The sequence below is a fragment of the Homo sapiens genome, chromosome 4 (assembly GCF_000001405.40).
Source record: "Homo sapiens chromosome 4, GRCh38.p14 Primary Assembly".
Classification (NCBI taxonomy): Eukaryota; Metazoa; Chordata; class Mammalia; order Primates; family Hominidae; genus Homo; species Homo sapiens.
Genome location: NC_000004.12, coordinates 26,688,655 through 26,704,830, shown reverse-complemented (window position 1 = coordinate 26,704,830; position 16,176 = coordinate 26,688,655). Strand labels below are relative to the sequence as shown.

The 16,176-nt window shown below is 38.1% G+C and overlaps 1 protein-coding gene and 1 non-coding gene across 20 annotated transcripts in view; both read right to left on the bottom strand.

Annotated features, from left to right (window-relative positions):
* TBC1D19 (TBC1 domain family member 19) overlaps positions 1 to 16,176 on the bottom strand; it is a 282,243-nt gene that overhangs the window by 154,089 nt on the left and 111,978 nt on the right. For 2 of the 19 annotated variants that reach the window (XM_047415907.1, XM_047415906.1), the window contains exon 14: positions 7,385 to 15,349. The exons of the other annotated variants lie outside the window; for them this stretch is intronic. In XM_047415907.1, the coding sequence (XP_047271863.1) occupies positions 15,227 to 15,349 (123 nt within the window). In that variant the 3' untranslated portion in view covers positions 7,385 to 15,226. Of the gene's footprint in view, positions 1 to 7,384; positions 15,350 to 16,176 lie in introns of those variants that run through there. 19 annotated transcript variants of the gene reach the window in all.
* Positions 2,443 to 2,522, bottom strand: LOC124900179 (small nucleolar RNA SNORD74). Its single transcript, XR_007058527.1, has one exon. It is a non-coding gene; the product is annotated as a small nucleolar RNA SNORD74 (small nucleolar RNA).

Here is a 16,176-nt window from a genome sequence, read left to right as displayed (position 1 = left end):
CAAAAAGTTGAAATAAAATTCATTTCTTATAATATTATATTTCTATTCTGAAGCCATCACTAAGTTCTGCACTACTCCCAGAATTTATTTTCCCTTTATCTATATTTGCATAGAATTTATATATATTTCTATTGGGGGATTTATCAAATTATAACTATGAATTTGTCTTTCTCTTCATTTTTCACTAAGTTGTGAGCTTAATAAATATCTTCTTTTGCTAGCACCTAACACAGTGCCTATATCAGAACATACACCAAATAATCTAACTAGATACATGAACAAAGAATATCTGACACATTTGGACCTTTTTAACTCCATTCAATAGCGTTAAAATATCTATAACTATGTCACACTTCAGTATCTCAGGACTACTACTAAGTATATGCCAGATAAACCAAGCATATGATGGAAGATTCGTCATACAACAGAAAGAGTAAATCTCCATGTCTTCCCTTTTACTATATATGAATTCTTTCCTATGAATATCTTATATACTTTGGACAATATGTTAACTTACGTAGTTTGTGAAAATTCCACTCAGTATTGAAGTCTGAAAATGGTACTGTCAAACTACTCAGTTTACTTCCATTAAATAAGAGTTGTCTTCTGTTTGAATACATTTTGAAACTGACATAATTTAAAACTTACAACACTTAAAAATGGGTACTTTAAGAATTTCATGCAAAATAAAAACTAACTTAACACTGGAATACTAAAGGATTGGCTTATTACTAAAAACATTATTTCTATAATATTCAGCATTGTTGCCTGTAAAATTTAGGAACATTAACATGAGGTACTCAGGAACAAGTGCCTGCGTATCCTTGTAACATAGGCCCAGATTTTCTTTTTTCTTTTTTTTTTTTTTTTGAGACGGAGTCTCACTCTTTTGCCCAGGCCGAATTGCAGTGGCACGATCTTGGCTCACTGCAAACTCCACCTCCCTGGTTCACGCCATTCTCCTGCCTCAGCCTCCCGAGTAGCTGGGACTACAGGCGCCCGCCACCACGCCCAGCTAATTTTTTTTTTTTTTGTATTTTTAGTAGAGATGGGGTTTCACCATGTTAGCCAGGATGGTCTCGATCTCCTGACCTCGTGATCCACCCGCCTTGGCCTCCCAAAGTGCTGGGATTACAGGCATGAGCCACCGTGCCCGGACATAGGCCCAGATTTTCTTTAAAGAAGGATTACTGGATATTTTCTCATCTGTATGTAAACACAGCAATGCCACATGACATCTAATTTTGCAGTGTAGTCACAAAATCCAATAAATCGGCTATGACCAAGAACATGGCCAGGAATATTAAATTTGCTATACATTGACAATTTTCCTATACAGCAACTGTGTTGCTAGGCAGCTCTGCTAAAGGAATGCCTGTAATTAATGACAAGAACAGGCTTTCTTCTGTCTTATTACACACATGCACACACACACACATGCACACACACAATTTTTTCTGAAAGGAAAAAACAGAACTCAATTTCTGAAAACAGAATATTTACAATGCATACAATTACATACGTTTTTATTAGTTAAAATAAATTTCTAATAATTCAGACTAATTGTAAAATGAATAATTAAAAAGTATCACCATGAAAGTGTTTTCTTAGTAATTATCCATATAAGGAAAATTTATTTTTACATAATTCCCAAAGAGAGATGCTTAGATGTTGTAATTATCCATCTATTTATGTTATGGGGATAGAGATCCACATTAAAGCTTATTTAGACAGATGAAAGGATAAAGAAAATGTAGTATATACAATACAATGGAATATTATTCAGTCATTATAGAGAAGAAAATGAGTTACATGAGGCCACATGATCCTGGAGGACATTATATGAAATGAAATAAGGCAGTCACAGAAGAACAAATATTACATGATTCTACTACATGAGGTATCTAAAACAGTCAAACATATAGCAGCAGTTGAATGGTGACTGCTGGGCCCGGGGGCAGGGGGAATATGGAGCTGCTATTCAATTGGTATAATGTTTCTGTCATGGGAGATGACTGAATTCTAAAGATCTGCTGTACAGCACTGTGCCTATAGTTAATACTACTATACTGTACACTTAAAAAGGTATTAAGAGGATAGACCTTGTGATAAGTGTTCTTACTACAGCATTTAAAACAGGCTTATTTAGTCATTTCCAAAGTACTAAAAGCAGGAGAAGTCATGAGACCTATGACTGAAAAAATTATGTAAAATCTAAAAACAATACAATTTGGACTAAAATATTAATAGAAATGGAAAATAAAGGTTAAAGCATACTCCTATAGTACTTACTGTTTGTGATACTGACTTAGCACCTAATGCTTTATATAAACACTTTAAAACAATTTCAGAATATTTTGTATGTTTGTGTCCTGCCCCCTTAACTAGAATGTAAGCCCATCAAAGGTGGTATCGTTTACACATAGTATAAGAATCAGTATTTTTTTTCTATCAGAGTCACTGGCATTCATCAACACTCTCAGATGTCCCCACCAACACAGGTTTCATCAGAGGTAGATCAATAAATATTTACTGATGCTCATTCTGCTTTTTCTCAAAATATGCATCCACTTATTAGTTCAGTTACTTATAAGTTTTCTTAGAAGTTTTCTTGCATGTAAGTCACTTACATGTGGAAAAGATAAAAATGAATGCTCCCTTAAGGGTTAGTTCTGGCATTATTTGGAGAACTTGTTACTGCTCTCATTTAAAACAGATGCCCTCACTGACTCTGTTTACCAAATGAGGCAGATTTATTACCTGTCAAGCCCCTTTTTACCACCACCAAAGAGGCTTTGTAGTTGTAACTTAAAAATGGCAATCCTCTTATCTCTGGTGACCAAATGGGACAAACTTCTCAAATGTATACTCTCTCTACCCACACACTGAAGTAGAATAGTCACAGATTACTATGAGTCATGCCATTATTGGCCTTTGGCTGATATTATAATTTATGTGTTCATATGTTTGGTGTCACAACAGTTTCATGTTCTGGATCAAAATGGCATAAGAAGGACCAAAAACTTTTAGTGAGTTAGTTAAATTTTTGCCAAGTGGTAGATATTTAGTTTATGTGGGTTTTTTTTATGTCTTTGTGTGACATTAACTAATCTGTTTATGAGTCAGTTCATAAAAAAGGATTCATTACAACTATACTAAAATCTAAGGAAATCTAGAGCCCGATAAAATGATGGTAAAATATCAATTAGCCTACAAATTACTAACATTAAGCTTTTAGATAAAAGAAGAAAGCTTCCTTCTCAATAATGAAAAAGATAACCCCATCAATGAAAACAAGTACACGATGTTAAGGAAAATTTTTACTCAGTATCTACAGTATACTAGGCATTGGAATTAACAATAAGGACCAAAATACTTAAGAATTTACCCGGGAGAGACAATTATAAAATAATCAAATAAACTGTGATAAGCACTATAAACAAAAAGTATGGAAAGTACTACACAGTACTTCAAAAGCACATATTAGATAGCCATCACTTTGTGTGTGTTTGTGCAGATGAGTGACGGGTTGGTCAGGGAAGGTGTATCTGAGTAAATGATTATTTCTTTAAGCATGGTTTCCTTTGGCTCTCTGAATATATTTATAATGGCTGCTTTGAAGTTTTTGTCTGTTAAGTCCAAAATTGAGAAATGAAGTAAAAATAGGAGTTGACTAGGTGAAGAGGGGAGGGTAACAGTCTTGCTTATAAAAGGAATTGCAGATCTTATAGGACTGAGGTAGAAAGGAGTATAGTGAACTTATGAAGTTAAAGATCAGGGTGGCTGGAATATAGAATGCCAGAGTGTCAGGGAGAGAAGTGAACAATCCACCCGGAGAGGTGGGCCAGGTAATGCAGGGTCATGTAGACTCTTGTGAAAAATGTGGGTCTTTTGGTTTTAATCAAACAAGTGACATGAATTGATTAGTGTTTTTAAAAGACCACTCTGACTTTACTGTAGAACATGGATTAAAAGCAGGGGTGGCCAGCATTCAGCAAGAGAGAAAAATAGGAAGGCCAATTTACTTTTTAGTAGCAGTAAAGAAATGTAATAAAATACCCATAGATTAAAGACAATATAACTATTCTTTCTTTAGGACAAAACCAATAGAATTTTCCTGCATAACAAATTATGAAACTTTCAACAGATAAAATCCCACTAACTAATAACTCTTGAGATAAAAGAATTTTAAAATCCACATTTAAAAAGAATAAACAATCTGTAATCAATACTTTTATGGAAAAATCTAATTGTTCCTTTTATGGCAAATCATACAAACTTTTTTTTTGTACCTCTGATATCTACATAAAGACAGTTTAGTCTAAACTCTCAGCTTAATGACAATAATATGAAGGCCCATGAAGTTCTGGTGAATTGCCTAAGGCCACAAAGATATTTGAAGACAGAACTACTGAAACGTGAGTTAAATAAAAGAAAAAAAATGCCATTCAATATTTATTTCAGCACTTTTGAGATAGTTTCATCACCTTTGGCTTTTGACAGTTTGACTATGATATGTCTGGGTATGGATATCTGTGGTTATCCTACTTTCAGTTTGTTGAGTTTCTTGGATGAGTTTCTTGGATGTGTAGATTAATGTTTTTCATCAAATTTGAGACATTTTCAGCCATTCTTTCTTCAAATACTTCTGCTCCTTTCTCTCTCTCCTCTCCATCTGATAGTCCTATTATAAATTTGTTGGTGAGCATGTTGTCCTAAACTTCCCTGAGGCTCTGTTTGTTATTTTCTTTGTTCTTTGAATGACATAATTTCTTTTTTTTTCTTTTTCTTACCCCTTTTAATTTCTTTTTTATTATTATTATACTTTAAGTTCTAGGGTACATGTGCACAACATGCAGGCTTGTTACATATGTATACATGTGCCATGTTGGTTTGCTGCACCCATTAACTTGCCATTTACATTAGGTATATCTCCTAATGCTTTCCCTCCCCCTTCCCCCCACCCCAAAACAGGCCCCAGTGCGTGAAGTTCCCCTTCCTGTGTCCAAGTGTTCTCATTGTTCAATTACCACCTAAGAGTGAGAACATGTGGTGTTTGGTTTTTTGTTCTTGTGCTACTTTGCTGAGAACGATGGTTTCCAGCTTCATTCATGTCTCTACAAAGGACATGAACTCATCATTTTTTATGGCTGCATAGTATTCCATGGTGTATATGTGCCACATTTTCTTAATCCAGTCTACAATTGTTGGACATTTGGGTTGGTTGCAAGTCTTTGCTATTGTGAATAGTGCCGCAATAAACATATGTGTGCATGTCCCTTTATAGTAGCATGATTTATAATCCTTTGGGTATATACCCAGTAATGGGACGGCTGGGTCAAATGGTATTTCTAGTTCTAGATCCTTGAGGAATCGCCACACTATCTTCCACAATGGTTGAACTAGTTTACAGTCCCACCAACAGTGTAAAAGTGTTCCTATTTCTCCACATCCTCTCCAGCACCTGTTGTTTCCTGACTTTTTAATGATCATCATTCTAACTGGTGTGGGATGGTATCTCATTGTGGTTTTGATTTGCATTTCTCTGATGGCCAGTGATGATGAGCATTTTTTCATGTGCCTGTTGGCTGCATAAATGTCTTCTTTTGAGAAGTGTCTGTTCATATCCTCCACCCACTTTTTGATGGGGTTGTTTGTTTTTTCTTGTAAGTTTGTTTGAGTTCTTTGTAGATTCTGGATGTTAGCCCTTTGTCAGATGAGTAGATTGCAAAAACTTTCTCCCATTCTGTAGGTTGCCTGTTCACTCTGATGGTAGTTTCTTTTGCTGTGCAGAAGCTCCTTCATTTAATTAGATAACATTTGTCAATTTTGGCTTTTGTTGCCATTGCTTTTGGCGTTTTAGACATGAAGTCCTTGCCCATGCCTATGTCCTGAATGGTATTGTCTAGGTTTTCTTCTAGGGATTTTATGGTTTTAGGTCTCACATTTAAGTCTTTAATCCATGTTGAATTAATTTTTGTATAAGGTGTAAGGAAGGGATCCAGTTTCAGCTTTCTACATATGGCTAGCCAGTTTTCCCAGCACCATTTATTAAATAGGGAATCCTTTCCCCATTTCTTCTTTTTGTCAGGTTGGTCAAAGATCAGATGGTTGTAAATGTGTAGTATTATTTCTGAGGGCTCTGTTCTGTTCCATTGGTCTATATCTCTGTTTTGGTAGCAGTACCATGCTGTTTTGGTTACTGTAGCCTTGTAGTGTAGTTTGAAGTCAGGTAGTGTGATGCCTCCAGCTTTGTTCTTTTGGCTTAGTATTGTCTTGGCGATGTGGGCTCATTTTTGGTTCCATATGAACTTTAAAGTAGTTTTTTCCAATTCTGTGAAGAAAGTCAGTGGTAGCTTGATGGGGGTGGCACTGAATCTATAAATTACCTTGGGCAGTATGGCCATTTTCACGATTTTGATTCTTCCTATCCATGAGCATGGAATGTTCTTGCATTTGTTTATATCCTCTTTTATTTTGTTCAGCAGTGGTTTGTAGTTCTCCTTGAAGAGGTCCTTCACGTCCCTTGTAAGTTGGATTCCTAGGTATTTTATTCTCTTTGAAGCAATTGTGAATGGGAGTTCACTCATGATTTTGGTCTCTGTTTGTCTGCTATTGATGAATAAGAATGCTTGTGATTTTTGCACATTGATTTTGTATCCTGAGACTTTGCTGAAGTTGCTTATCAGCTTAAGGAGATTTTGGGCTGAGACGATGGGGTTTTCTAAATATACAATCATGTCATCTGCAAACAGGGGCAATTTGACTTCCTCTTTTCCTAATTGAATACCCTTTATTTCCTTCTCCTGCCTGATTGCCCTGGCCAGAACTTCCAACACTATGTTGAATAGGAGTGGTGAGAGAGGGCATCCCTGTCTTGTGCCAGTTTTCAAAGGGAATGCCTCCAGTTTTTGCCCATTCAATATGATATTGGCTGTGGGTTTGTCATAGATAGCGCTTATTATTTTGAGATACGTCCCATCAATACCTAATTTATTGAGAGTTTTTAGCATGAAGTGTTGTTGAATTTTGTCAAAGGCCTTTCCTGCATCTATTGAGATAATCATGTGGTTTTTGTCTTTGGTTCTGTTTATATGCTGGATTTGGTTTATTGATTTGCATATGTTGAACCAGTCTTGCATCCCAGGGATGAAGCCCACTTGATCAAGGTGGATAAACTTTTTGATGTGCTGCTGGATTCGGTTTGCAGTATTTTATTGAGGATTTTTGCATCAATGTTGATCAGGGATATTGGTCCAAAATTCTCTTTTTTTGTTGTGTCTCTGCCAGGCTTTGGTATCAGGATGATGCTGGCCTCATAAAATGAGTTAGGGAGGATTCCCTCTTTTTCTATTGATTGGAATAGTTTCAGAAGGAATGGTACCAGCTCCTCCTTGTACCTCTGGTAGAATTCGGCTATGAATCCCCCTGGTCCTGGACTTCTTTTGGTTGGTAGGCCATTACTTATTGCCTCAATTCCAGAGCCTGTTATTGTTCCATTCAGAGATTCAACTTCTTCCTGGTTGAATCTCTCCTTGGGAGGGTGTTTGTGTCCAGGAATTTATCCATTTCTTCTAGATTTTCTAGTTTGTTTGCATAGAGGTGTTTATAGTATTCTCTGATGGTAGTTTGTATTTCTGTGGGATCGGTGGTGACATCCCCTTTATCATTTTTATTGTGTCTATTTGATTCTTCTCTCTTTTCTTCTTTATTAGTCTTGCTAGTACTCTATGAATTTTGTTGATCTTTTCAAAAAACCAGCTCCTGGATTCATTGATTTCTGAAGGGTTTTTTGTGTCTCTATCTCCTTCAGTTCTTCTCTGATCTTAGTTATTTCTTGTCTTCTGCTAGCTTTTGAATGTGTTTGCTGTTGCTTCTCTAGTTCTTTTAATTGTGATGTTAGGGTGTCAATTTTAGATCTTTCCTGCTTTGTCTTGTGGGCATTTAGTGCTATAAATTTCCCTCTACACACTGCTTTAAATGTGTCCCAGAGATTCTGGTATGTTGTGTCTTTGTTCTCATTGGTTTCAAAGAACATCTTTATTTCTGCCTTCATTTCGTTATGTACCCAGTAGTCACTCAGGACCAGGTTGTTCAGTTTCCATGTAGTTGAGCTGTTCTGAGTGAGTTTCTTAACCCTGAGTTCTAGTTTGATTGCACTGTGGTCTGAGAGACAGTTTGTTATAATTTCTGTTCTTTTACGTTTGCTGAGGAGTGCTTTACTTCCAACTATGTGGTCAATTTTGGAATAAGTGTGATGTGGTGCTGAGAAGAATGTATATTCTGTTGAGTTGGGGTGGAGAGTTCTGCAGATGTCTGTTAGGTCTGCTTGATGCAGAGCTGAGTTCAATTCCTGGATATCCTTGCTAACTTTCTGTCTGGTTGATCTGTCTAATGTTGACAGTGGGGTGTTAAAGTCTCCCATTATTATCGTGAGGGAGTCTAAGTCTCTTTGTAGATCTCTAAGGACTTGCTTTATGAATCTGGGTGTCCTGTATCGGGTGCATATATATTTAAGACAGTTAGCTCTTCTTGTTGAATTGATCCCTTTACCATTATGTAATGGCCTTCTTTGTCTCTTTTGATCTTTGTTCGTTTAAAGTCTGTTTTATCAGAGACTAGGATTGCAACCCCTGCCTTTTTTTGTTGTCCATTTGCTTGGTAGATCTTCCTCCATCCCTTTATTTTGAGCCTATGTGTGCCTCTGCACATGAGATGGGTCTCCTGAATACAGCACACTGATGGGTCTTGACTCTTTACCCAATGTGCTAGTCTGTGTCTTTTAATTGGAGCATTTAGCCCATTGACATTTAAGGTTAATATTGTTATGTGTGAATTTGATCCTGTCATTATGACGTTAGCTGGTTATTTTGTTCGCTAGTTGATGCAGTTTCTTCCTAGTATCGCTGGTCTTTACAATTTGTCATGTTTTTATAGTGGCTGGTACCGCTTGTTCCTTTCCATGTTTAGTGCTTCCTTCAGGAGCTCTTGTAGGGCAGGCCTGGTGGTGACAAAATCTCTCAGCATTTGCTTGTATGTAAAGGATTTTATTTCTCCTTCATTTACAAAGCTTTGTTTGTCTGGATATGAAATTCTGGGTTGAAAATTCTTTTCTTTAAGAATGTTGAATATTGGCCCCCACTCCCTTCTGGCTTGTAGAGTTTCTGCCGAGAGATCCGCTGTTAGGCTGATGGGATTCCCTTTGTGGGTAACCCAACCTTTCTCTCTGGCTGCCCTTAAGATTTTTTCCTTCACTTCAACTTGATGAGTCCGACAATTATGTGTCTTGGGGTTGCTCTTCTCGAGGTGTATCTTTGTGGCATTCTCTGTATTTCCTTAATTTGAATGTTGGCCTGCCTTGCTAGGTTGGGGAATTTCTCCTGGATAATATCCTGCAGGGTGTTTTCCATCTTGGATCCATTCTCCCCATCACTTTCAGGTACACCAATCAGACACAGATTTGGTCTTTTCACACAGTCCCATATTTCTTGGAGGCTTTGTTGACATTTCTTTTTATTCTTTTTTCTCTAAACTTCTCTTCTCGCTTCATTTCACTCATTTCATCTTCAATCACTGATACCCTTTCTTCCAGTTGATCGAATTGGCTACTGAAGCTTGTGCATTTGTCACGTAGTTCTCATGCCATGGTTTTCAGCTCCATCAGGTCACTTACGTACTTCTCTACAGTGGTTATTCTAGTTAGCCACTCGTCTAATCTTTTTCAAGGCATTAGCTCAGAGCAGTTTGGTCATCTGAAGCCTTCTTCTCTCAACTCGTCAAAGTCATTCTCCATCCAGCTTTTTTCCGTTGCTGGTGAGGAGCTGCATTCCTTTAGAAGGGGAGTGGTGCTCTGACTTTTAGAAATTTCAGCTTTTCTGCTCTGTTTTTTCCCCATCTTTGTGGTTTTATCTACCTTTGGTCTTTGATGATGGTGACGTATAGATGGGATTTTGGTGTGGATGTCCTTTCTGTTTGTTAGTTTTACTTCTAACAGTCAGGACCCTCAGCTGCAGGTCTGTTGGAGTTTGCTGGAAGTCCACTCCAGACCCTGTTTGCCTGGGTATCAGCAGCGGAGGCTGCAGAACAGCGAATATAGCTGAAGAGCAAATGTTGCTGCCTGATCATTCCTCTGGAAGCTTCATCTCAGAGGGGTACCTGGCCATGTGAAGTGTCAGTCTGCCCCTACTGGGGGATGACTCCCAGTTAGGCTACTCAGGGGTCAGGGACCCACTTGAGGAGGCCGTCTGTCTGTTCTCAGATCTCAAACTCCATGCTGGGAGAACCACTGCTCTTCAAGCTGTCGAACAGGGACGTTTAAGTCTGCAGAGGTTTCTGCTGCCTTTTGTTCGGCTATGCCCGGCCCCCAGAGGTGAAATCTACAGAGGCAGGCAGGCCTCCTTGAGCTGAGGTGCGCTCCACCCAGTTCGAGCTTCCTAGTCACTTTGTTTACCTACTCAAGCCTCAGCAATGTCGGTCGCCCCTCCCCCAGCCTTGCTGCTGACTTGCAGTTCAATCTCAGACTGCTGTGCTAGCAATGAGTGAGGCTCTGTGGGCGTAGGACCCTCGAGCCAGGGGTGGGATATAATGTCCTGGTGTGCCGTTTGCTAAGACCTTTGGAAAAGTGCAGTATTAGGGTGGGAGTGACCCGATTTTCCAGGTGCCGTCTGTCACCCCTTCTCTTGGCTAGAAAAGGGAATTCCCTGACCCCTTGTGCTTCCCGGGTGAGGCAATGCCTCACCCTGCTTCGGCTCACACTCGGTGGGCTGCACCCACTGTCCTGCCTCCACTGTTCGACGAGCCCCAGTGAGGTGAACCCGGTACCTCAGTTGGAAATGCAGAAATCACCCATCTTCTGCATCGCTCACTCTGGGAGCTGTAGACTGGAGCTGTTCCTATTCGGCCATCTTGGAACTGCTGAATGACAATTTCTTATGATGTCTTCCAAGTTCACTGATTCTTCTCTGCTTTTTCAAATATACTTTTGAGTCCTTCCAGTAAAATTTTCATTTCAATTATTGTACTTTTCAACGCCAGAATTTCGGTCTGGTACTTTAAAAATGTAATTTCTATCTCTTTAAAACCTTCTGTATTAGAGGAGACATTGTCATCACACCTTACTTTACCTTTTTTTTTTTTTTAGACCGGGTCTCACCTGTTGCCTAGGCTGGAGTGTAATGGCATAACCACAGCTCACTGCAGCCTTGACCTCCTGGGCAAAAGTGATCCTCGCATCTCAGCCTCCTGAGTAGCTGGGACAACAGGTGCATGCCACTACACCCAGCTAATTTTTTTTCTATTTTGTAGAGACAGGGTTTTGCCATGTTGCCTGGGCTGGTCCCAAATTCCTGGGCTCAAGCGATTGTCCTGCCTCAGCTTCCCAAAATGCTATGATTACAGGTGTGAGCCACTGCATCTGGCCTTACTTTACTTTTTTAAGCATGGCTTCCTTTAGTTCTTTGAATATATTTATAATGGCTGCTTTGAAGTTTTATTTGGTTAAGTACAACATCTAAGCCATCTTACAAGCAGCTGGGGCTCATGATTGTTATTTGCTTATTTGTTTAGTGACTTGGTTGAAATATTTCATTTAAGTCTGTTTCTCCCAAAGTGTGAAGCCTCTGATGTACTTCAGAGTATGCCGCCTTGAGCATACACACAATCATCCTTCAATGACACTGGCTTTAGCAGGGTTTTTTTTTTTTTTTTTAAGACAGTCTTGCTCTGTCACCCAGGCTGGAGTGCAGTGGTGCAATCTTGGCTCACTGCAACCTCTACCTCCTGGGTTCAAGCAATCCTCCTGCCTCAGCCTCCTGAGTAGCTGGGACTACAGGCATGCACCACCAAGCCCGGCTAACTTAGCAGGTTCTTTGTCTCTTCCCCTGATCTCTGTGTTAAGCTTTCTGTCTTTCTCGATATCACAGCCAGATATTAGGTTCCTCTAATTGCCAGCTGATTATTCTACTGTTTTCAACAATGTCCTCATGCATAAATTGTACCACAGTCTGATTCAATTAAACGTATGGTCCTTTGTGAGGTCATTTTTGTGGCCAGTCTTTGAGGTTTGTCCTATCCCATCAGGACTCCTCCTAGTTATCTCTGTCTCTGGCTTTCTCTGGTAAACCAGCTGCTATGCTTTTAGCTTGTTACTCTTAAGTGTTTGCTATTAAAATCTTCATTGTTCAGAGACCCATTAGGTTGGAACTTTCCTATACTCCATATAAAGTTAGTTCTTTGAGGAGAGCTTCAGAGTTACTGTTGTTAAAGCTGTCTCCCATTCTGGCCAAAATCTCTGAGTCATTTGCCCTGGAGCCGGATTGTGGACAGTGGCCTACTTCTCTTGGAGTGACACTTCTGCTTTGTGAGAAAGACACTGGTGAGGGTGGTAGCCTCTGGTCTTCTCAGCTTGCCTTTCCCATGTGGAACCTCTGTCCCCTCTATAAACAAAATGAGGTGAAAGCCGTTGAGGCCCTAGTATTTTTGGCCTGCTGAGTGGAGTCAGAGCTTTTGGGCCAGATCTCTGCCCTATGGGAAGGAATCTGACAACTTCCTGATGGTACTCTCTAGAATTTAGCATCTGCAATGGAGGTGAGGGAGATAAGAAATACTGGCCATCTGCCCCTCCTGTGGAGATATTGTAACCGTCAACTAGAAGCTGGAGGGAAATGGAGCCCCATCTTCCTGGCCACACATGGCTGAATTGAAGCTTCTGTCATGCTAATCTGGGGGTGAGGGGAGGCAAAAAGCAGGTCATGACTCAAGGGCCACAAATTATTTTTACCGAGATTTAGTAGCTTTTCTCAAATAAATGTTTTCTTCTTTGATGACTTTTTATGTAACCTTAGGATAATTACCAGAGACTTTAAATACTTTTAAAAAAATAGTTTTCACTAGTTACAGTTTCCTGCTGAGGATGGTTCTGTGGAGCTTCTCTCAGACAACCATTTAAGAACTGATAATTTCCACTCTGTATTTCTGAAGTACAGAGGTTATTGGCAAACTAGTATTATTGTATAAATGAAGAATTAATTTTATTTATATAGGCATACCTTGGAGATATTGCAGGTTCAGTTCCAGACCACCACAATAAAGTGAATATCGTAATAAAGCAAATCACACAAATTTTCTGGTTTCTCAGTATGTATAAAAGCTATGTTTATACTACACTATAGTCTATTAAGTACACTAGCATATGCCCAAAAATATACATGCCATAAATTAAAAATACTTTCTTGCTAAAAAAAAAATGCTAATAACCATCTGAATCTTCAGCAGGCTGTAATCTTGTTGGTGGAGGGTCTTGCTTCAATGTGTATGGCTGCTAACTGATCCAGGGTGGTGGCTGCTGAACATTGGGGCAGCTGTGGCAGTTTCTTAAAATAAGACAACAATAAATTTGCTGCATTGATAGACTCTTCCTTTCACAAAATATTTGTTTGTTGGCACTTTACCCACAGAACTTTCAAAATTGGAGTCAATTCGCTTGAACCCTGCTATTGTTTTACTAAGTTTATGTAATAGTGTAAACACTTTGTTGTCATTTCAACAATGTGTATAGTAGCTTCACCAAGAGTAGAGTCCATCTCAAGAAATGACTTTCTTTGTTTATCCTCAAGAAGCAACTCTTCATTCATGTAAGTTTTATGATGAGATTGAAGCAATTCAGTCACATATTGAGGCTCTACTTCTAATTCCAATTATCTTGCTTTTCCCACCACAGTGACCGTTACTTCCTCCACTGAAGTCTTGAACCCCTCAAGGTTACCCATGAAGGTTAGAATCAACTTCTTCCAAACTCCTTTTCATGTTGATATTTTGACCTCCTCTCATGAATCACAAATGTTCTTAATGGCATTTAGATTGGTGAATCCTTTCCAGAAGCTTTCAATTTACTTTTCCCAGATCCATCAGAGGAATCACTATCTATGACACTATATAGCCTTACAAAATGTATTTCTTAAATAAGATTGAAAGTCAAAATGACTCCCTTATCCATGGGCTGCAGAATGGATGTCGTGTTACTAGGTATGAAAACAACATTTATCTCCTTGTACATCTGCATCAGAGATTTTGGGTGAATATGTGCATTGTGAATGAGCAGTAATATTTTGAAATGAATGTTTTTTTCTGAATAGTAGGCTTCAACAGTATGTTTACAATATTAGGTAGACCATGCTGTTAACAGATGTGCTGTCATCTAGGCTTTCTTGTTCCATTTATAGAGCACAGGCAGAGTAGATTAAGCATATTTCTTAAGGGCCCAAGGATTTTTGAAATGGAACGAGCACTGGCTTCAACCTAAAGATACCAGCTGCATTCGCCCCTAACAACAGAGTCAGCATATCCTTTGAAGCTTTGAAGACAAACATTGACTTCTCCTCTCTAGCTATGAAAGTTCTAGATGGCATTTTCTTCCAATGGAAAGCTGTTTCATCTACACTGAAAAATCTGTTGTTTAGTGTAGCCACCTTTAACAATGATCTTTGCTAGACAGGGACAATTTGCTGTAGCTGCTACATCAACACTTGCTGCTTCACCTTGCATTTTTTAAGTTATGGAGATGGCATTTTTCCTTCAACCACATAAACCAACCTTTGCTAGCTTTCAATTATTCTTCTCCAGCTTCCTCTCCTCTCTCAGCCTTGATAAAATTGAAGAGATTTAGGGCCTTGCTCTGGATTAGGCTTTGGTTTAGGGGAATGTCATGGCTAGTTTGATCTTCTATTCAGACTACTAAAATTTTCTCCATATCAGCAACAAGGCTGTTCTCCTTTCTTATCACTCACGTGTTCACTAGAGTAACACTTTTAATTTCCTTCAAAAACTTTTCGTTTGCATTTACAACTTGGCTGTTTGGTGCAAGAGGCCTAGCTTTTGGCTTATCTTGGCTTTGGGCATGCCGTCCTCACTAGGCATAATCATTTCTAGCTTTTGATTTAAAGCCAGAGACATGTAACTTCCATTCACTTCAACATTTCAAGGCCACCACAGGGTTATTATTGGCCTAATTTCTATATTGTTGTGTCTCAGTGTATAGAAAGGACTGAGGAAAGGGAGAGAAATGGGTAATGGCCAGTTGGTAGAACAATCAGAACACATGCATTTATCAATTAAGTTTGCCATCTTAAGGGTGCAGTTTGTGGCATTCCAAAATAATTACAGTAGTAACATCAAAGATCACTAATCACAGATTACTAAATCAGATATAATAATAAAGTTTGAAATATTGTTAAGAATTACCAAAATGTGACACAGAAATATGAAACAAGCTCATGCTGTTGAAAAAAATGGTGCTGATAGACTTGCTCAATGCAGGGTTGCCACAAACCTTCAATTTGTAAAAATAACATATCTGTGAAGCACAATAAAGCACAATAAAGTGAGATACACCTGTATATTCAAAAATTTACTGAGTACTAAGAATTAGGTACAGGGCTACATATTAGCTACATAAACTTTTAGAAGAAGATTTTTGTATTCTCCAACTTTTAATTAATAACTAACTTTATATTAAAATGGAATTTTAAGTCCACTACTTAAAAAAACAAAAAATTTTAATTATGCATTTGAAATCACAGGAATCTCTTAAAATTGTTTCTGGGGTTATTTAAAATTTTAACTTTATAAATAAGTCTTATAAAGTCTTTATACTTTAGCTCTTGGAACATATGATAAACCTTCTTGAAGATGCTTATTTAAGTTTATATTCTCTCTTAAACACATATACACCACAATACCATTTTCAAACAAAAACCTGCTCATACAAACAGCAGGGACCAATTTACATTTAATCAAGCAGAAATTGCTGTGTAGAATCTAGGTATTTCCTTTATGACATTTGTATTGACATTCATTCAAAATCAAATTATTAATATGTACATATCTTTTTAAAAAAGAACATCATGTAAGCAATTCTATATAAATTACATATTTTCTATTTATGATAAATGATTTTATTCTAGATGTGAAAAAGTAAGAATCCAAGCATCCACAATATCTGCAAATGAAATGATCAAAGGATAATCACGACACTCCAAATTGATTTTGAAACATTATTTTTTCAATATCTTTAATTTTAAAAGTATAATGCAAAATGCTTTCTCCAAACATCTTGGAATGGCTTAAATAAGAATTTGACATCTGATTTAAGCATCTATGCCAATAACAAAGATAGAAAAC